The 22,036-nt window shown below is 33.9% G+C and overlaps 1 long non-coding RNA gene across 1 annotated transcript in view, besides 1 other annotated feature; it reads left to right on the plus strand.

Annotated features, from left to right (window-relative positions):
* Nucleotides 1–22,036, plus strand: part of LINC02770 (long intergenic non-protein coding RNA 2770) — a 278,575-nt gene that overhangs the window by 227,946 nt on the left and 28,593 nt on the right. The window contains exons 6-9 of the long non-coding RNA NR_186758.1: nucleotides 3,763–3,858; nucleotides 4,691–4,782; nucleotides 15,340–15,453; nucleotides 16,608–16,728. This is a non-coding gene — a long non-coding RNA (long intergenic non-protein coding RNA 2770). The remainder of the gene's footprint in view (nucleotides 1–3,762; nucleotides 3,859–4,690; nucleotides 4,783–15,339; nucleotides 15,454–16,607; nucleotides 16,729–22,036) is intronic.
* Nucleotides 1,075–1,275: a silencer, noted in NCBI's record as "peak601 fragment used in MPRA reporter construct". NCBI's record gives its function as "represses an SCP1 promoter by STARR-seq MPRAs in K562 erythroleukemia cells {active_cell/tissue: K562}" and the evidence as "EXISTENCE:reporter gene assay evidence [ECO:0000049][PMID:32103011]".

Genomic DNA, 22,036 nt, shown 5'->3' on the forward strand with positions numbered 1-22,036 from the left:
TTGCTAGTCTTTTTTTAAATTTTAGTTTTTATTATACTTAAAGTTCTAGGGTACATGTGCACAACGTGCAGGTTTGTTACATACGTATACATGTGCCATGTTGCTGTGCTGCACCCATTAATTCATCATTTACATTAGGTATTCTCCTAATGCTATCCCTCCTCCCTTCCCCCACCCCACAACAGGCCCTGGTGTGTGATGTTCCCCTTCCTGTGTCCAAGTGTTCTCATTGTTCAATTCCCACCTATGAGTGAGAACATGCGGTGTTTGGTTTTTTGTCCTTGCAATAGTTTGCTGAGAATGATGGTTTCTATAAGTACATAATCCCATAGAAATCAAAGTCACACTGGAGTTCATAAAACATATTTTATTTCCATTTAGGAATTTCTCCAGTATTATCTCTATGGAATATTTAATCGATAGGCATGTTTCAAACACTTTCATAAAAAGAATCTTCAACTTTTCCCAGAAGTGAATATGTGAAATATATAAACACAAACACAAACATACACATACACAAACACTTGCATATATACGAGACAAAGAGTAATAATAAAAAGCCAAACACCCACAGATGACTTTAATGCTGTAAGAAATAGAATATTATTAATATCTTTAAAGCCCTGAGGATCTCTTCTTGATCAAATTAATCTCTAAATACTACTCTTTAAAGGTGGCAACTATACTATTTTTAGATAATTTGCTTTTATTTATACTTAAACAGAAATATATTTGTATATATCAATATATAATATAAATTGTTCAGTTTTGCATGTCTATCATTTATTAAAATATGTCATACTGTAAACTTCTGCAATATTACTTTTTAATGATACGTTTATTAAAGTCAACATTGTTAATTTAAGTAGCTGCAGTTGATTCATTCTCTATTGCTCCATACTATTAATACTGCATTGTATATATATTCACATTATATATGCATATATAAAATATATGTGTGTATATCATTATTTATCTATAAAAGTTAATACCAGAGTTTTTTTGTTTGTTTCATTTTGTTGCTATTACAAACAATGCTGCCAGGTTGGAAAATTACATAAGGTTGGTAAATTTCATGCCAGCCACTGCGTCTTAAAATTAAACCAAATTAATAAAACTCGGTGTAAAGCAATTTTAAGATTCTTATCTTAATCTAGCTTAACTTTACGCTGTAAAAACCTGCCCCTAAATTAAAATAAGCTATGAAAATGACTTTAATGTTCTCATAACACAATAGCTAAGGCCCAAACTGGGATTAGATACCCCGCTATTCTTGGATATAAGCTTAAATAACTTCATAAGCGAAGTTATTCACCAGAATACTACAAGCAACAGCTTAAAACTCAAAGGACTTGGTGGTGTCAAGAGACATCTGATACCTGTCTCTTAGCATGTATTATTACAGGTGGAAATTCTAGATCCTAGGGTCTGTGCCTCATCTGCTTTACTAAATAATCCTTATTTTTTGCAAAATAGTTGCAAAAATTTGCATTGCTTTCAGCAGGGTATATTTTCCATTGTTCCATTTCATTGTAATTCCTTAAGTTTATTCCTGTTGGTGCTGCTCTGCTTTTTCTTCTGAGGGTTCCCTCCTTTTCCTGTAAGGTAACAGTGTGCATATACACCCTCACACACGTATGTTTCTATGTTACCAAATGTATGTAATAAATATATATTATAAAATATATATAGTATATTTATATGTTATAAAACTTAAGTATGTATAGATCACCATCTTTATATAGAAAATATGCATTTAGGGGTTTTTATATTTTTAAGTGGGCTTGTTTTACAAATATTTTTGGCCTGCCAGAGTGTCAAAAATAAATCCACTGGATTTATAACAAAGTGGAGCTCTCCTCATGTTTCAAGGACACCCCCCTCAACCTAATTTCACTTTTTGCCCATTATTCTATTCTTTTCCTCTTTATCATAAGCAAACTCATGAGAGATGCCTTCATGTCTTCACCTCAAAGCCTTTAGCATTCCCAAATTAGACCTGATTCATCATCAATCATCTCAAACAACTATTACTATGTTTATTAATTTTCCTTGATGTCATATTCAGTAGGCATGCTGCATTGACATTTTTCTTAACCCTTGGAATTACATACTGTTATATGGATTATATAATATTTAGTGTTACTTCCTGTTTGAAACACTCCCTTATCAGCTTCTGCTAAATGAATTACATGTGATTTTCTTTCTACACTTTTGATTATCAACTTTCCAGTATCACTTGCTGGTTTATCACCAAATTATTAAATATTAGGTTTCGCAAGGCACGGGGATCATCTCCTGTTTGCCTCCATGACCACTTTTTAGTAATCCCACCTATATACATACTTCAACTTTTTCAGCCATAAGCTTAAGACATGCACATCTATATTTTCAGACTTTTATGTTCATCTGCTTAGTCTCCCCAAAGATAAATCAACACATTCACCCCAAATTTAACATGTTTAAAATAATAAAAACAAAAAAAAAACAAACCAACAAAAAACCCTATCTTATCCCACTGTCCCTTATCTCAGTGTATGGCAGGTGTAACCACCCAGTCACCCAAGCCACACTCCAGGAAAGCCATCTTTACATTTTAATAGCACACCAATATTTATTTATCTGTATTTCCCCCACTTTGCCCCTCTCCCTTTCCATTGCCTTCACACAACTTCCCTGCTTTCACTAATAAGTTCCATTTATGCTCTAAGAGAACAATGTCCTACATCTGCCATCCATCGGGCTTGTCTATTTTAAATTCCAATTTTCAGTATTGTGATGAGTGACATCACCATTATGCTATGAGTAGCATGTGGTAAGGGGCCTAGCATGTAGAGGTTCCTCACTAAATGCTTACTGAATGAATCATACCACAGTGAACCCCAGTTCTTCTTTCTTTCCCCCGCTCCACAGCCCTTTCCCTTTCTATTTACCCTTGTGCTCTACATCAATAAGGAAGCCTGGTTCCCTAGTTAAATTTAGCATAAGCTAGACCTTTCTAGTCAAATTTTAATATCAAGGACAGTAAATCATTATCTCCAAAAATCAATTTGGCACACCGTAGGCATTTAGAATGACATTTATTTTTCTTCTTCCTTCTCTTTTTTTTTCCTACCGTTTCTACTTCTGCTTGACTGTGTCTGAAGCAGATTGAATCAAAAGTATAATTAAAAATAAAAGTTATGCAACACTCACAGATGCAACTTTATCTTAAGCTGGAAACTCAAATTTTGTTTGGCCTAGTTCAAGAGAAACAGTGGGCAGCAGTATGAGACTGAGTCTATGAGCCACTTGCAATATTCAACTAAGCTGATGTATCTCGGTTTACTCATCTACTAATTCACAATTATAAGGGTTGCTATTACTGATGACATTGTTCAGATTCTTTCTCGTCATTATAAATAGTATATCATAGTGATTAACATCACAGTGTCTGCGGCCAGACTCCTTGGGTTTGTGTCATGGCTCAGCCACTTAGCAGCTGTGAAATCTGGCAAGTTACCTAGCCTGGCTGTGCCTTCATTTCATTATCTATATAATAGAATTAATAATAATTCTGGCTACTCACATTTTACTTTCAACTTTTACAATGTAACACACTTAGAACAGTGACCAGCACAGAGTAAATATCATATGACTTATTATGATCCATCTCCAGCTGTGTTTTCTCTGTTTCCTTCCTTTTTAACAGACTGTATCTATAAATCTCTTACATAGTATTTTATTACAATGCTCTGAACTTCTTACATGTTTATTTTTCAGGAGTGATATATCTTGAAAATTCACTTCATTTGAGAGTCATTTGTTTCTTGATAACTGTTTTCCAGTTGCTACATACTTCATTAAATTGATGCAAAGGTATAGTAATAGTTTTTAGGTACAAGATTTTCCAATTTGGCATTTCCTTTCATGTTGAAAACTTTAATCTCAAGAAAGAGAATTTTTCATTTTCATCTCTTTGACTTCAATATGAATTTGAGCCAGCAGATAATTAAATTAGGAGTGTAGTTGAGGGGGACTATTTGAATTTTTCTTTTTTAATTACTTCTCAAATTAAAATCCAGGATAGCTAAAAGAAACCTATCAAAAAACATGATACTCTGATAAGATTTTTCCAATCATGAAATACCAAATAGCTGTTGTGGTTCTAACATTTTATTTCTCCACACTCTAGCCTTTCTGTCTCTTTAATAAAATTAGCTATTTTGTTGATATCTTCTAAGATTGAACTTTCATCCAAAATGCATAGATATTCATATTTCATGAATAATCTAACAAGAAATGTTATAATATTCTAGGTCATCCAGCAAGATGAATATGTATTAAGTAAACTTACTCGTGTGTGTTTTTAGCCTTTCTAAAAGTACTTCCAGTTCCCCTCCGGGGCAGATATTGGATCTACTATGTGCACAGGGCCATTTTATTCAATCCATAGGTTTATTATGTATTGTCACTTATATTGTAAATAGCATTTGAAGTTTTATTTTTTATTTTATTTTATCTGTATGAAAATTTATCCCAGGAAACATTGAATGCAAACATTTGTCTTTGATGAATTCCATATTACATTTTTAAAGTTCATGTTAGATATGTCTCTCAGAAAAATGAGAAGTAATTAAAGTTTGTTTATATTTACTGTTAATTATTTTAATCATATATGCTTTACCAAGACTTGTTCTCCCCTGTGTAGGAAAATCTGTTCATTGCGCTCAAAATTTTAGAGAAAGACATGAGAAATGATGAAGAAGTGGATGATTGACAGAGAGTTCAGCTGAGTTTCAGGTACCATGGTTTTCTCACATATTCTATTTATTATCTTACTTTAAGCATAAATCATGTATACTACAACAATCTGACAGGCATTAATTTTTATTTGTATAAGTACATATTTTTTTGCTAGATTACACACTACTTCCTAAATATTAAATTATCAAAAAATTTAAAAATTGATGAGCATTATAAAACACTTCTCTTTAATCCACAATAATTTATAAGTCTTAAAATATTGGTAGATTCAATTTAAACTTGTTTTAATTGCCCCAAGAGTATGAATATTGGAGTTTTTGGCAAATTTAAACATAAATAGGGACTATTACCTCACATAAGCTGCTAAAATTATGCTTCAGTTTCTACTTTCTCAAAATTCAATATGCTCTTAACCGGATTAAGTTCAAAATTATCAAAATTTAAAGTTTAATACACATTAAATATTTTTATAGAGGTATATGCTATGTCAAAATCTTTTTGAGTAGACCTTTGATCTTAATTTTGTGACAGATTTAAGAAGCTTATTTCATAGGTTTAATCCAATTCAACTTAAGAAAAAAAGATTTATTTTACTTAAGGTGTGTACTGTGTTCTTGAGACATAGAATCTTTGCTTCTGATACTACATTCAAAAGATATCAAACTTACAGAAATTGTCATTGTTCCAGTTATATAACTGATTACTGTACACAGAAATTATTTTTGGAATACTCTTGATGCACCATCTTACACATGTAACTTAACTTAAAAGGAGCATTTAGTAAGCAAAACATCCAATTAGGCACAGCTAGCTTACCTTCTGTGATAGTTATATTCAAGAGAACCAAGTCCTTAAATAGAAAAAAAGATGAGTGATACAACTAAGCTAAAGCTAGCTATATTTTTTCAAGGATTTCAAAATTCATTTTTATGTGAATTACAATGTGTTACAAAAAACTACTTAAAATATTTGATATGTTTGCTTTTTAACAACATAAACACAAAATCTATTTTTTAAAAATAAAATATGAGGCATTAAGTTTTTCCAATATGTCAAAGACAGTGCTCTATCTGAAAAGTAGAGCAGATAAAGTCTATTATTTTCTACTGACCTCCAAGCAGGGCTCTGAACATTGCGTTTTCATTTATGTGCAAAGTAGGGGCATACAATATTCACCTTAAATGTGATGCGACAATAAGCAGAAGATTGGGACACTGACAAGGGCAGTGCTCCTATCATGGCAACACCTTGAGAAGGTGTACCTCAACTATGTAGGGAAACCATCGTTTGAGAAAATGAACTGCATGGGCAAATCAGCTGTTACTAAATGTTTATATATCTACTTGGGAGTATTTTATAACATTTGCTCTTACCCTTATTTGTTGTAGAAAACTGTCATAGAAAATAAATTTCAGTGGTTTCATTTTAAAATAATTTATAGAATTAAAGATTTAGCAATATCAAAAATGCTTTTTGATATTTTTTGTAAAAATATCGAAAGTATTTTTTGTAAATGAGTGCAAAGTGATGAATGATTTTTAAAGACTATTTCATTTTAACATCTATTTTGTATCCAACAGTTGAAATTTGATGCCAATATCATAGACAGAAATATGTCTAACTGAATATTGCTGCTGTTACATAATTATATTACAAATATGATATAAACATTAAATTTACCTTTTAGTAACAATGTTAAAAGTTATTATCATATATCAGTTTGATAAAGAAGATGTTTCATTTAAAACTGTATCTGCAACCTCCTTCCTCTGCATAGTGCCAGAAATATCCACCTTATTTATTGTAGCTGTTTTTACAGTGTAGCTATTGGGTCATTTGTATTAGAATCATTTGGGGACATATTAAAATGTATTTCCTTAAGCCACATACTGGATCTATGGAGTCAAATTATCTAGTGATGGTGCTCTGGAGTCCACATTTTAAAACCATTTCTTAGATGGTGTTTTTGTACATTCATGTTTGATTAGCCCTAACTTTTTGCTTTGCATTAAAGCATTCAATTGACATTTGAAAGCCGTAATGTTCTTTGGAAGAAGTAGGCATCAGTCCATAATTATTTATCAAATCTGCATGAATTAATGTACGTACTTTTCTTTAGTCTCCTAAAGGTATGAATGCCTGGATTAAAAAACGTTTTATTAGAGAAGGCAGATACAAAAAGGGAGAAGATTTAAATTGACTTTAACATTTACCTAATTTGTATTTAGTTGCCTAAACAAGCTCTGAAAGAATCAGGGATGAATAACTTAGAACACCTCTCTTCACAGAGCCACAGACCAAACACATTCAGATATGTCCAAAATAAATGAATAAATAAATACATAAAGAAGAGAGAGGCACAAGGAGAAATAAGCATTGCTAGGAAAACGAATGTTGTTTTTTTAGTGTATTAATACAGCTTTTCTATTAAGGCAGGATGGGTTCTACTGACTATTGGTTCGGGCTGAAAATAAATAATAACCGACAATTTTAAGTGATAAATATTTCTCTCTTCAGAAATTGCATTAGAATACATGGCATTGTATATTGTAAAGTAGTGTTATTTAAATTCATTTATGTTACCTCCATCGTGTAGTTTGAGTTGTGTTTACAGAGGAAAATTAGACTATGTGTGGCTCTTATGCTCAAAGTCAATCACAGTTTCATTTGGTACTCATCTTGGAAATCCAGGTTTGTAAGCATGTGCTAGCATGCCGAGCACACTTCACAGCATAATTTGCATATCTGGACATTTTTGCATAGAGACTGGCTTTTACTCTTCCTTCAAATATAGTTTTATTATTTTCATTTGGTTTGCTCATTAGCTAGCCATTGGATTGTTTTTCTTTAAAATTTAAAGCTGACTTATTACCTTATAAATATTTTCTGGTTAAATTGAATTTTTAAATGTTCACTACTAAATACAAACAAGAACAATCTTTCATGTCTGTGTTTTAAATATAAAATTATCATATGTTTGATAGCAGCATTTCCTAGGGATAGTTTTAACAGTCATAAGATTAAGATCTATTGGTCTGTTTTATTTGCAAGGTTCTTTTTATGGATAATTAAGATCCCAGATTTATTAAAATAGTGTTTGTAGAAGAAGCCCTAGATCTCATATAAGTAAAAATAAAGAATCTTTTGTTTCTAGATCATAGCAGGCTACAGAATATAGTGTTTTAAAGTTCAAATTCAGGCCAGAAGTCCTTTGTTGTATCTTGGCTCCACCACTTACTGGTCGAGAGGAGACACTTGACCTCTGCGTATCTCATCTCAGATTCCTAATCTGTAAAATAGGAATATACTTACCCTTAGGTATATCCAGTAGTACCTACCTCACAGGGTTATTATTAGCTAGGTTTTTTTCTTTTTTTTTTTTTTGAGACAGAGTTTCACTCTGTCATCAGGCTGGAGGCTGGAGTGCAGTGGCACAATCTCAGCTCTCTGCAACCTCTGCCCTCTGAGTTCAAGCGATTCTCCTGCCTCAGCCTCCCGAGTAGCTGGGATTACAGGCGCCTGCCACTGCACCCGGCTAATTTTTTGTATTTTTAGTAGAGACATGGTTTCACCTTCTTGGCCAGGCTGGTCTTGAACTCCTGACCTCGTGATCCACCCACTCGGATTCCCAAAGTGCTGGGATTACAGGCGTGAGCCACGGCACCTGGCTTATTTTTAGTATTTTTTAAAATACTAAAAGTATTTTCTGGCGCATGATAATTGTTACACAGTGTTAAATGAATTGACATATTAGCTTCCAAAAATGGTGAATTTGCTAATACACTGTAAACTCAACACAGGAACCTCCTTAAACAACACTGTGGCTCCAAAGTCTAATACTGTGCCTGGCATAGTTGTTTTTTGATGGTTGGTTAATTCATACGAAGAAAGTAAGTTCCTATTTCAATGGAATTAGTCCCTGTTTCTATACAAAAAGGCGTGAGGCCATGGTAGGAAAGTTGTCCAGCAAAGAAATGATACTTACACTGAAACACAAAGCCTAAGTAGAAGTCAGCCAGGCAATGAGCTGCAGAAGGAACAGCTGGTGCAACACTTGACACTTGTATATATGTGCATATTCATCACGTATATATGTGCATATTCATCACATATATCCGTGCATATTCATCACATACATATGTGCATATTCATTTGCATTAACATGTATAGATGATTACAGCCACAAAATGGTGTGGCAGGATTATTGTAGGATGGATTCCAGCATCTGTGGAAGAAAATCAACCACAGCACCATCACGAACTGAAAGCTGCTGAAGAAGGATTCTCGCTTGAGAGAGAAGGGAGCCAGTGTTTTATGGAGATTCAGCAAGAGGGTTCAGATGAAACTCAGCTAGCTCTGTGGATAATTGGTTATAAATAGTTCTAAGAAATTTATTCTTAAATATTAGTTGGGCATTTTAGTAAAAGGAGTTGAGACACAGAGTTAGGACCTAAGGTTATGTGGAAGAAGGGTAGAGAGGAATGACTGGATGAGAAACCCATGGACATGAGAAAGCCACAGTGGAACTTTTTCCATCCTTCAGCATTTCTTACATATCTCACAGGAAGATAGACTACATGACATCATCTATGGTTCAGTCTATCTGCGTATTATTTCAACCTTTTCATTCAATTAGGCTTTAGGTTTAAAATTTAAAAACAGATGTACTAAATTCTTCTTTTTAACTTTTTTTAAGAAAGCAAACATTAATGACTTTTTAGAAAAGGATGTCATTTATGCCACTCCCCACTTACTCTAGAGAGAGAATAACATTTCAAGAGAAAAGAGTAATACTTTCAGGCCCTTCCTACTCTTACTTGTTCCTGTCCTTTGCTAAAAATAAGTGATTTCTTTAACTGATGCTATAGGGAGAAAAAAATGAATGAACACAGCCAAGCTTTTTATTGGCATTCACGCTCATAAACTCAATAAGCTTTCCACACCATGCTCTGTTCTAGTAAGGGAAGAGGCCTACAATTTTTGCAGCTGCTGAAAATTAAAGTGTAGAAGGCATAATTTTTGCCTTGGATCCAAGATGTGTTTTCCAATCAAGATTTACCAATTACAAGTCAGATATTTGCTCTCTATTTGACACAAGTCTCCTGCCCAATTGTTTCAGAATCCACAGGGAAGAGATATGTTTTGTTGACTGCCCATTCATTTAGTGTTTGAATTAAAAAAATAAATTCATTTTTAACAAATTATTATGGAGACTAGTGTTCCATGGAAAACACATTAAGGAAAAATGACTTAGGAGTCTGTGAAGTAATACTGCACATATCAGTGCCTTTGAAAATATGCTCCATAGAATGTCCATTGCCAATTGAGAGTCAGAAACGTGTTAGACTACATGGTAGGAATCAGAATCAAAAGTCTATGATTTGTGGGAAGCAGTTCAAAATAATAATGTAAGCTTGAATTTTAGAGAATATTAACAGGGTCCAAATTCTGGCTCCTACACTTGATAGCTGAGCAACTTTACGTTTCAAGTAAATCATGGACAAAATACAATACATATTTTGTGGTGTTGCTACAAGATTGTACATAAAAGTAATTCAATAATAATTTTTATTGAACATGAATTAAAAAATGTAGGCACACATAATGCCTGACAGAGTGGGAGCAGAATAAATAGTAGCTCTAATCATGTTATTATTTTAATTAAAATCATTAATAATACTGATCAACAAGGCTGGTGGGTTGCCATGGGTTCTTCTTTTGAACACGTTATGCAATAGTTTACTGGTGATTTTTAGATAAACATTGCTGGCAAAACCTTGCCAGTCAACAGGAAGTTGGCAGAAGTAAAGAGGAGATGATGAATTTGTTAATAATAGATTTAAAATGCAATCAGAAGTTGGAATAGTGAACCAAAAATAACTAGATAGAACATACAAAAAGTTGTAAAAGGCACTTGGGCCCTATAATATAGCAGCAGTAAATGTAAAATTATTGAATTGTCTAGTTAAATATAAGTACAATAAGAGTAAACAATACTGTAAAACTACTCTGGAATGTATTATATTAGTTTCATTAATAGAAATAGTCTTCAAGAATATATAAGCAAATATTCTAAAGTTCTCTATGCTATACAGACTGTACTTGTGTATAAAATTTAAAAGAAATACCAAAACCAGGTGGCATATTCAAAAAAGACAGGCCAGGAAGATAGTAGCATCTAAACCAGCAAATTATGACTGATTTAATGATATGGGCCTGCTTATCAGGCAGGAAGGAAGTTTAGTGACAATGATAGGTATCTTCTAAATTCTTGAGCAATTGTTGAGTACAAGAAGGTTAGATTCACTTTGCGTGACACCGGAAGTTAAAATAAGTACTATTGAGTGCATTATATGGGGAAATCAGATTCAAGTCAGCATCTTGAAAAGCATGAAGCAATATAAAAATTGAAGAGGATTCCTCAAGTGACTGCAAGGTGCAAATCTAAAAGCTGAATGCTCGGAATCACTTACTGAATGAAATGTTATCAGTAGGTGACTTCCCTGTTCCCTTTATATCACCAAGACTACTTCTATGACTTTTATTATCCTAACATTAAAGGATGCCAATAAAATCTTTTAATCATCAGCATATCTCCAACATTAATAATTGCAAAGTTCAAGTGAATATTTTTCACAGAAATAATATAATTTTTCACTTAAGATTTACATGAGATATTTCCATATCTCTAAATTAAATGATAAATTTAATTTAACACGTCTGACATCAAGTTTCTGTTTAAAAAGTGTTTTCTAAAAATGCAAGGTCTGAAAGTGTTTATTTAAAATTTTTAGTCCCTTTGCTACTGTTTTTCCAAATTTAATACATGTGATGAATGTAGGTCTGCTAACTGATATCAAACATTACTGTAACCTACTATTTCTTGGACATTATCTCCATCATTTAATTTCTTGTCTTGTGTTACAAGTAAGAAATTGTATAAGGTGAGATGGTAGGAGATATAAAAACAAAAACAACAACATTAAACTCCCTTCTTAGAACCAACAAAAAATTGTTGACATACATCCAAATCCTGATTATAATTTAAAAACTGTAATAGTTTGTTATAATAACAGGAATTATTTTTATTTTTGCATTCCTGGTTATGATAGAAAAGCTAATATAGGACCTGCTTTCCCACCAATAATAACTCTAAAAGCTGATAAAAATCTGTGAAATTACAGTGCTGTGTAGGCAGTACTGGAATGAAACTAACATGGCTGTGATCCTTGAAAAAGAGAACACAAGAGGTGAGCCCCATTTCACCAAGGATTTATTCCTAAAGGCATTTCTTTTAAAGTGCTGTCCAGGGATTTAGAAAACAACAGACAGCATCAATGTCACATGGTTGAAGAAAAAGGGACTACCAAGAGAGATGGGATTTGGTGCCAAGTTCTGTGAGGAGGGAGCTACAGAATGAAAACCCAAATATCTGAGCCAAGATTTCAGAGTCCACTCAGTGCTGAAAGATGAAGTACAAATCATGCCAGTGTGAAGACACTATAGTGGACAACACAGTTCACTTGACTTCCCAGAAAGTCCAAGTCTTAGGGACAGGAATCATGTCATAGAAGTAAAGGTCATGTATTAGTCCGTTTTCATGCTGCTGATAAAGACATACCTGAGACTGGGCAATTTACAAAAGGAAGAGGTTTAATTGGACTTGCAGTTCCAGGTGGCTGGGGAAGCCTCACATTCATGGCAGAAGGCAAGGAGGAGCAAGTCTCGTCTTACATGGATGGCAGCAGGCAAAGAGAGAATGAGGAAGATGCAAAAGCAGAAACCTCTGATAAAATCATCAGATCTCATGAGACTTATTCACTACCATGAGAATAGTATAGGGGAAACCATCCCCACTATTCAATTAGCTCCCACCAGGTTCCTCCCACAACATGTGAGAATTATGGGAGCACAATTCAAGATGAGATTTGGTGGGGAACACAGCCAAACCACATCACTCTCCCCTGGCCTCTCCCAAATCGCATGTCCTCACGTTTCAAAGCACAATCATGCCCTTCCAACAGTCTCCCAAAGCCTTAGCTCATTCCAGAATCAACTCAAAAGTCTACAGTCCAAAGTTTCATCTGAGACAAGGTGTGTCCCTTATGCCTAGGAGCCTGTAAAGTCAAAAGCTAGTTAGTTACTCCTTAGATACACCTGGAGTACAGACATTGGGTAAATACATCCTTTCCAAATGGGAGAGATTAGCCAAAACCAAGGGGCTACAGGCCCCATGCAAGTCTGAAATCCAACAGGGCAGTCATTAAAGCTTAATGTTCCAAAATGATCTCTTTTGACTCCATGTCTCACATTCAGGGCACACTGATGCAAGAGGTGGGTATCCGCACCTTGGTCAGTACCATCCATGTGGCTTTACAGAGTACAGCCACCCTCCCAGTTGCTTTCATGGGCTGGCATTGAATGTCTGTGACTTTTCCAGGCACACAGTACAAGCTGTCAGTGGATCTACCATTCTGGGGTCTGGAGGACAGTGGCCCTCTTCTCACAGCTCCACTAGACAGTGCTCCAGTGAGGACTGTATATGGGGGCTCTGACCCCAGATTTCCGTTCTGTACTGCCCTAGCAGAGATTCTACATGAGGGCCCTGCTCCTGCAGCAAACTTTTGCCTGGACATGAAGATATTTCCATACATACCCTGAAATCCAGGTGGAGGTCCCCAAACCTCAATTCTTGACTTCTGTGTACCTTCAGGCTCAACACCATGTTTAAGCTGCCAAGGCTTGGGGTTTGCACCCTTTGAAGCAATGTCCTGAGCTGTACCTCGGCTCTTTAAGCCAAGGATGCACACAGCAGGGGGGACCTGGGCCCAGCCCATGAAACCATTATTTCCTCCTAGGCCTCTGGACCTGTGGTAGGAGGGGCTGCTGTGAAGTTCTCTGACATACCCTGGAGACATTTTCCCCATTGTCTTGGTGATTAACATTTGGCTCGTTGTTACTTATGCAGATTTCTGCAGCATACTGGAATTTCTCCCCAGATAATGTTTTTTTTTTTTTTTTTTTTTTTTTGCTTTTCTACTGCATCTTCAGCCTGCAAATTTTCTGAACTTTTATGCTCAGCTTCCTCTTGAATGCTTTGCTGCTTAGACATTTCTTCTGCCAGATACCCTAAATCATCTCTCTCAAGTTCAACTTCCATAGATCTCCAAGACAGGAGCAAAATCTTGCCTGTCTCTTTGCTAAAGCATAAATAAGAGTCACCTTTGCTCCAGTTCCCAACAAGTTCCTCATCTCCATCTGAGATCACCCAAGCCTGGACTTTATTGTCCATATCACTATCAACATTTTGGTCAAAGCCATTCAACAAGTCCCTAGGAAGTTCTAAACTTTCCTATATTTTTCTATCTTCTTCTGAGCCCTCCAAACAGTTCCAACCTCTGCCTGTTACCTAGTTCCAAAGTCACTTCCACTTTTTCAGGTATCCTCATAGCAGCACCCCACTCTACCAGTACCAATTTACTATATTTGTCCATTCTCGTGCTGCTAATAAAGATATACCAAGACTGGGTAATTTATAAAGGAAAGAAGTTTAATTGACTCACAGTTCTGCATGGCTGGAGAGGGCTCAGTAAACTTATACTCACAGCAGAAAAGGAAGCAAACATGTCCTTCTTCACATGGTGGCAGCAAAAAGAAGTGCAGAGCAAAAGGGGAAAAGCCCCTTATAAAACCATCAGGTCTCTTGAGAACTCACTCACTTTCACAAGAACATGATGGGGGAAAGTGCCTCCATGATTCAATTATCTCTACCTGGTCTCTCCCCCCAACACATGGGGATTATAGAAACTACAGTTCAAGATGAGATTTGGGTGGAAACACAGCCTAACCATATCAAGTACATATTGTATAATTTCATTTGCATAAAGATAAAAAACAGTTACAGCTCATTCGAATAATAGAAGTTTCAATAATCACTACATTTGGGCATGCTAGAAATGTTCCATATCTTGATCTAATGGGGGTGACATTTGGAAAATAAATGTACAATTTATGAAAGAGGCCAATTAAGTTATAATTTACAACTAAAGACAAACAAAGGTCAATGATTGTGCAAAAAAAAATGTTAACATAACATGCAGGTCTAACTGCTATTATTCAAAAACCTGTGTACAAAATTGGCTAAAATCTTGGAACTTACATTTAGGAGTGTTCTCATAAGTCCCAGAAATGAAGAGTGGCTTACTGGAACTAAATTGTTTATACAACATGGTTTATGGAGAATATCTGCTTTCCTTCTGGAAGTCTAGAATTTCAGTACTTGCTAGACAGAGGCTGCCTATATGACCAGTTCCCAGTAAAAATCCTGGGTGCTGAAACTTTAATTAGCTTCCTTGGTAGACAATATTTCCCTATAATAAATTACAATCATGAACTACATGTATGCTACACATATATTGAGTCCTATGAGTCTTCCTAGTGACCTGAGAGTAGTTGGGTAATGGGATGATGCCAGTAAATTAATTTCTGTTGTATTTTTTATGTGGTTGGATTTTAATATTTTAAAAATGTAATAACTCTCTCTCCTTTCTATTTGGATTTCACTTACCTTCCCTTGGAAAATAATAACCCGAGTTTGGTGAGAGGATGTCTAATATAGAGGGCACTCCAGGAGTGGGCCTAGCAGCCTTAGCTGGATGAGGGGGTCCCATGGAAGAGGATTGCCTAACACATGATTCTGAACTTCATGTAAGTATGAAGGTATACAAATGGGGAGTTGGCAGCCGTGGCCCAGCTTGAGCAGGGATTCTACGTGGTGGAGTAGTGGGGACAGGAAGTCGTGTGGTGATAAGGAATTTGTTAAATACAAGAAGTCCCATCACAAAATTAGGTTTATGAAGCATGTGGTGTATAGATTTCTCACTATCAGAAAAATAATTACAAAATACAGAAATGTTAAAAACAAAAATGTACCTTCTGTTATTGGATTTGAACTGGAGACAATAGTGTGAATTCATAATTTCAATATAGATATATAAATATATAGCTGCACACATACCACCTTCCTAGGTGTGTCTACTGAATAGACAGGAAACAGTGAGAGACAAATGGTATCAAGCATGTTTAGCATCCAGATACTGGTTTCTATGAACAATTCTTCACTAAAAAGAACCAGACCATCTTGGAGAAATTGCTGATTCCAGGGTTGGAACAGAAAAAGTACAACATGACTTTCGAACATTATTTTTTGCTAGAAAGTAAGGAATTCATCCAACAACATAGGGATATGTTAGAAGGAAACATAAGCCAATTTGAAGGGACTTCCTCTGGTCAAACCAGAAATAATTGAGGATCAAAATAAATAGTTGTATTAATGAATTATAGCCCACTGAATAAAAACAGAAAACTATAAGCCCCTACTGACTAAAATAAATATGTATATACACTGAAAATGTGATAAGGAATAAGTCTTCTCTTAAGGTACATTTTCCACAAAATTATTATTCATTTTAAAGGCAGTGCAGAAATAATTCTAAAATGAAAAAGCCTATCACAAATCGCTCTAATCAAACGATCAAAATTAACATCACCAGTAGTGAGACACAATGAAATCAGGTACCAACTAATAGGATTAAATGAGAAAATGAAATTACTTCCATGTTACTCCTGCCAAAGGTGCAGAATCTGAGTCTAGTAATAAGGAAACATTAAACACATCCAAATTGAGTAACATTTATGAAAGTAAGTAAAAATCAAAAGAAAAGAAAAAGCTCCCCACGGAAAATAAGCAAAGAGACTACTCCCTTTTCTTAAAACATTTACTTTAGAAAGCTTGTAAGTCTTTTCCCTATCTCTGAAATATACATAAGATTTATGAAAAACTAAAAAAAGTCCCCTTCTAGCCTTACAGACCCGCGAATGTGTTTCTCAACGACCTGGGGACCATATCCGAAATGTCATCATCAATGGAGATGGCACCTACCTACCTCTCAGTTTCTGTGGGAGGGTAGCAGCCTAACTTTGGTGAGTAGGCATCTCAATCCAAGTTGTAAAACCACCTCCTGTCATAATTATAGGAGAAGTTCATTTTTCCTTTAGATAATGCCAATTAACAAACACAGATGGTTATCCTAACTACCAAGTGTATTTGTGATGAACTATGTGTGACAAATGTGCTGTCAAGGTCTCTTACTTGAGAACTAGTTATTGTTTATAGGAGAATATATATGTAATAGATTGTTGCTGCTTGCTGTGTAAAAGGGTGAGATTTCCTTCTGCCTCTGCAATGTCTTAGCAGATTGCCTGTGATGAGAATCACACTCTTGTTTAATACTTACTTAGTAATAAAACTAAAATTATTTTTCCCCATGTAGCTTTATGGAGAAGTTTTCTGGGTTGGGAGGAGATTTTGTTTTTAATTATATTAAAAACAAACACTCTCCAAAAACCTCTACAAAATAACTAACCTGTAATCATCGAAAGTGTCAAAATCACGAAAGTAAAAGAAAGGATGAATAAATGATATAGATTCAAGAAGATTAAAATGATAACACCTAAATGCAATGTGAGATTCTGGACTGGATCTTTCCAAATTAAAAAAAAAAGTTGAAAATTGTAAAAATTTTATTGGAGCCTAAGTATTAGACAGTAGTCAGGTACTAATATTAATTTTCTTCTTTTGATGTTTATACTGAAGAATATGTTTGGAAGAAATTCTAAAATATTTATTGTTGATGCAGCATTATTTTCAAAAGGATTAAGAAAAAATGTTATTTAAATTGTATTTTTCTGTAAGCTTGGAATTGTTTAAAAGGTGAGGAGGAGAGATACAAAGATAATAGAAACAACCACATACTCATCAAGAAAGTTAAATTTTGTTAAAATTTCTGCTAGTTGGTTCTTTTAAATAAATTACAGATACATTTAAAGCTCCATTCTGAGTTCCCTATTTTTCCTTCTCTGAGGTAACAATTATGTATGATTTCCACACAAGCTTATATAATCTATGGCTGTTGTTCTGTGTTTTAAATTACATAAGTGGTATCATACATGCGTATACTTTTGTAACTTTTTTTGGATAATGTTATTTTGAGATTCATATACATTCTTACATCTTGCTGAATTTCATTTTAACAGCAGTGTTGTATAAGGCACAGTTTACCCACTCCTCTACTGAGAAACAGGTTGTTTTGATTTTTCCCCTATTATAAGCATTGTTGCAGCATTACATAAAGTTTAAAAAAAAAACTTTTCCCAGAGTGTGGCTTGAATGTTTTTTTTTTTTCCTTATTAGTTGACATCTGACATACAGGAGATTTTAATTTTATTTCTTTCTTTCTTAATTGAGATATATTTAACATTTTTATGGGATACATGTGAGTATTTGTTACTAGCATAGAATATGTAATGATTGAGTCAGAGTATTTGGGGTGTCTATCACCTGAATATTTATTATTTATATGTGTTGGGAACGTTTCAAATTTTCTCTTCTACCTATTTTGAAATATAAAATACATTGTTGCTAACTATAGTCACCCTACTCTGCTAGCAAACCTTATAATTTATATTTTATATTTGACTTCGTGTTTGTACCAACTAACCTCTATTCATCCCCCACTTCTCACCCACACACTCTTCCCAGCCTCTGATACCTATCATTCTATTTCCTACCTGCACAGGATAAACACTTTTTAGTTTCCAAATATGAGTAAGAGCATGCGATATTTGTCTTTTTCAACTTGCCTTCTTTAACTTAACATATTGACCTTCAGTTCTATCCATTTGCTATGAATGACATTATTTCATTTGTTTTTATGGACAAACAGTACTTTATTTTGTACGCATACCATATATTCTTTATCCATTCATCCATTGATGAACACTTAGGTTGATTCCATATCTTGGCTATTGTGAATAGTGCTGCAATAAACATGTGAATGCAGGTATCACTTTGATATACTGATTTGGTTTCCACTGGATAAATGCCCAGTAGTGGAATTGCTGAATTGTATAGTAGTTCTAGTTTTAGTTTTTTGAAAAATCTTCATTCAATTTTCCATAGTGGCTGTACTAACTGACAGTTCCACCAAGAGCATAAGAGTTCCTTTCTTTCTTGGAAAATGGAGGTTTTTTCCTCCATTCTCACTAGCTTTTGCTATTTTTTGTCTTTTCATAATACCCATTCTAACTGGGCTAAGATAAAACCCCAGTGTGGTTTTGATTTGCATTTCCCTGGTTATTAGTGATGTTGATCACTAATAAATAAAAATAATGTATTTTTAAATACACCTGTTGGTTGTTTGTATTTCTTTTTTTGAGAAATGTCTATTTATGTTGTTTGTCCACTTTTTAATGTGATTTGTTTTTTTCCTGTTGGATTCTTTAACTACCTTTTATATTCCGAGCACTAGTCTCTCATTAGATTAATAGTTTGCAAATGTTTTATCCAATTCAACAGGTTTTCTCTTTACTCTATTGACATTTTCCTTTGTTATACAGAAAAATTTTAGCTTAATAGAGATGTACTTGTCTATTTTTGGTTGTTTTTTGTATTTTTTTAGGTACTAACCATAAAACCTTCGCCTAGATGAATATCCAGAAATATTAATATTTGTGTAGGCTTCCTCTTGTAGTTTTATAGTTTTAAGTCTTTAATTTATCTTTGGTTGATTTTTGTGTATGGTGAAAGATAAGGGTGCTGTTTCCTTCTTCTACATGTGAATATCCAGTTTTCCCAGAACCATGTGTTGAAGAAAATATCTTTCCCACTGAATGTTCTTTATGCCTCAGTCAAAAATCAGTTGGCTGTAAATACATGTTTTTTTATTTAACTCTAGTCTGTTAAATTGTTCCATGTCTGTTTTTATACCAATACCAAACTGCTTTTCTTTATAGCCTTGTAATATATTTTGAAGTCAGGTAGTGTTATATCTCCAGCTTTGTTCCTTTTGCTCAGAATTGCTTTGGCTATGTGGGGTATTTTTTGGTTCCAATGAACTTTAGGATTTTTTTTATAATTCTGTAAAAAATGATGTTGGCATTTTAATGGATTTTGAATTGAATCTGTAGATTGCTTTGGGATATATGATCATTTTATCAATATTAGTTCTCTAATCCATTTATATCCTCTTCAGTTTCTTTTATTGGTGTTTTATAGTTTTCCTCATGGAGATCTTTCACCGTCTTTATTACATTTATCCCCAGATATTTTATTTTTTAATAGATATTGTAAATGCAATTGCTTTTTTTTCTCAGCTAATTAATTATTGGTGTATACAAATGCTACTGATTTTTCTATGTTGATTTTGTATCCTGCAACTTTACTGAATTTGTTTATCAAATCTAAAAGGTTTACTGGGAAAGTCTATAGGTTTTTCTAGATACAAGATTATATAATTAGCAAAGAAGGACAATTTGACTTTCAGTTTTTCCCCATTTAGTATGATATTGACTGTGGGTTTGTTATATGTGGCCTTTCTTATGTTGAATATGTTCCTTCTATGTCTAGTTTGTTGAGACTTTTAATTATAAAGAGATGTTAAATCTTATCAAGTGCTTTTCTGTATCTATTGAGAAGATCATACTGATTTTGCCCTTGATTCTGTTGATGTGGTTTATCACATTTATTGATTTGTGTATGTTGAAACATCCTTGCATCCTGGGATAAATCCTACTTGATCATGATGTATTATAGTTTTGATGTGCTGTTAGATTCAATTTTTTAGTATTTTCTTGAGGACTTTTGCATATATGTTTGTCAAGAATATGAGCTTTCAGTTTTCTTTTCTTTTCTTTTTTTTTTTTTTTGTTCTTGCATCTTAGTGTGGTTTTGGTATCAGATTAATGCTGGCCTGGTAGACTAAGTTAGAGAGAATTCCCTCCTCTTGAGTTTTTTGAAATAATTGAGGAGAAGTAATTTTCTTGGTCATCTAGAAAGTAGGTTATCCATTTTGTTTACCTTTAAAAATGCATTTTTGTTTTACTATCTCTTCTATGTTTTGGCGGGTGAGGGTTCTAATTTTCTGTCTATGTGTTCTGTCTAATGCTGACAGTATGGTGTTGAAGTCCCCAAATATTACTGTATTTGAGCCTATCTCTCCCTTTAAATCTAGTAATATTTGCTTTATATATTTGAGTGTTCTGTGTTGGGTAAATATGTTTAGAATTGTTACATCCTCTTGCCGAATTGATCCTTTTATCATTTTATAATTTTTTGTCTCTTTTTACTGTTTTTGACTTAAAGTCTATTTTATCTAACTTAAGTATGACTACTCATGCTCAATTTTGATTTCCATTTTAAAATATTTCTTTTTTCATCTTATTACTTTAGGTTATATATGTCTACAAATATGACGAGGTTTCTTGTAGGCAGCATATAGTTGGGTCCTTTTTTAATCCATTCAGCTAGTCTATATCTTTAAATCAAAAGTTTAATGTAGTTTACATTCAAGGTTATTATTGATATGCAGGAGCTTATTGTTAGCATTGTATTAATTGATTTCTGGTTGTTTTGGATAGCCTTTTTCTTTTTCTCTTATCATTTATTATTGTGATTTGGTGGTCTTCTGTAGTGGTAACTTTTGAGACTTTTCCTATATTTGGATATCTGTATTTCTTGCTAGTCCTGGAAAGTTGTCAGTATTATTTCTCTCACTAAGTTTTCTATCATTTTCATTTTCTCTTTGCCTTCTGGGACACCAAAAGTTCAAAGATTGTGTTGCTTTATGGTGTTCCATATGTTACATATGCTGTGTTCATTTTTTTAAAACTCCTTATTTCAAATTTTTGTCTTGGTTATCTCAAAGGACTGGCCTTCAAATCCTGAGATACTTCTGCTGGATTTAGTCAGTTTTTGAGGCTTTTGAATATATTTTGTATTTCATTCAATGAATTCTTCAGTTCCAGATTTCCATTTGGTTCATAATGTTTATCTCTTTGTCAAATTTCTTACTCTACCCTGGATTGCTTTTCTGATTTAATTATATGGTTTATTATTATGTACTTTCTGAGCTTCTTCAATATTATATTTTAAAATCTTTTTCTATGATTTCATAAGCCATATTTCCTTACTTTTTTATGTTGCTTGTATTCTTAGGTTGATATCTGTGCATGTGTTACAGTCACTCTTTCCTATTTTTAAAGTAACTTTCCTAAGGGAAGACATTTTCCTAAAGTTATATCTATGATGTTTGTTGGGTTGGACACTTTGGATTTGATCCTGAGTGCATGCATTAATGTCATTAGTGTGTGATTTCTTCAGCTATAAACAACATCAATTGTATCTGTGATTTCCTCAGTGGCTTATGGTACAGTTATTGGAGGGTTTGGTGAA

Source organism: Homo sapiens, chromosome 1 (assembly GCF_000001405.40).
Source record: "Homo sapiens chromosome 1, GRCh38.p14 Primary Assembly".
NCBI lineage: Eukaryota > Metazoa > Chordata > Mammalia > Primates > Hominidae > Homo > Homo sapiens.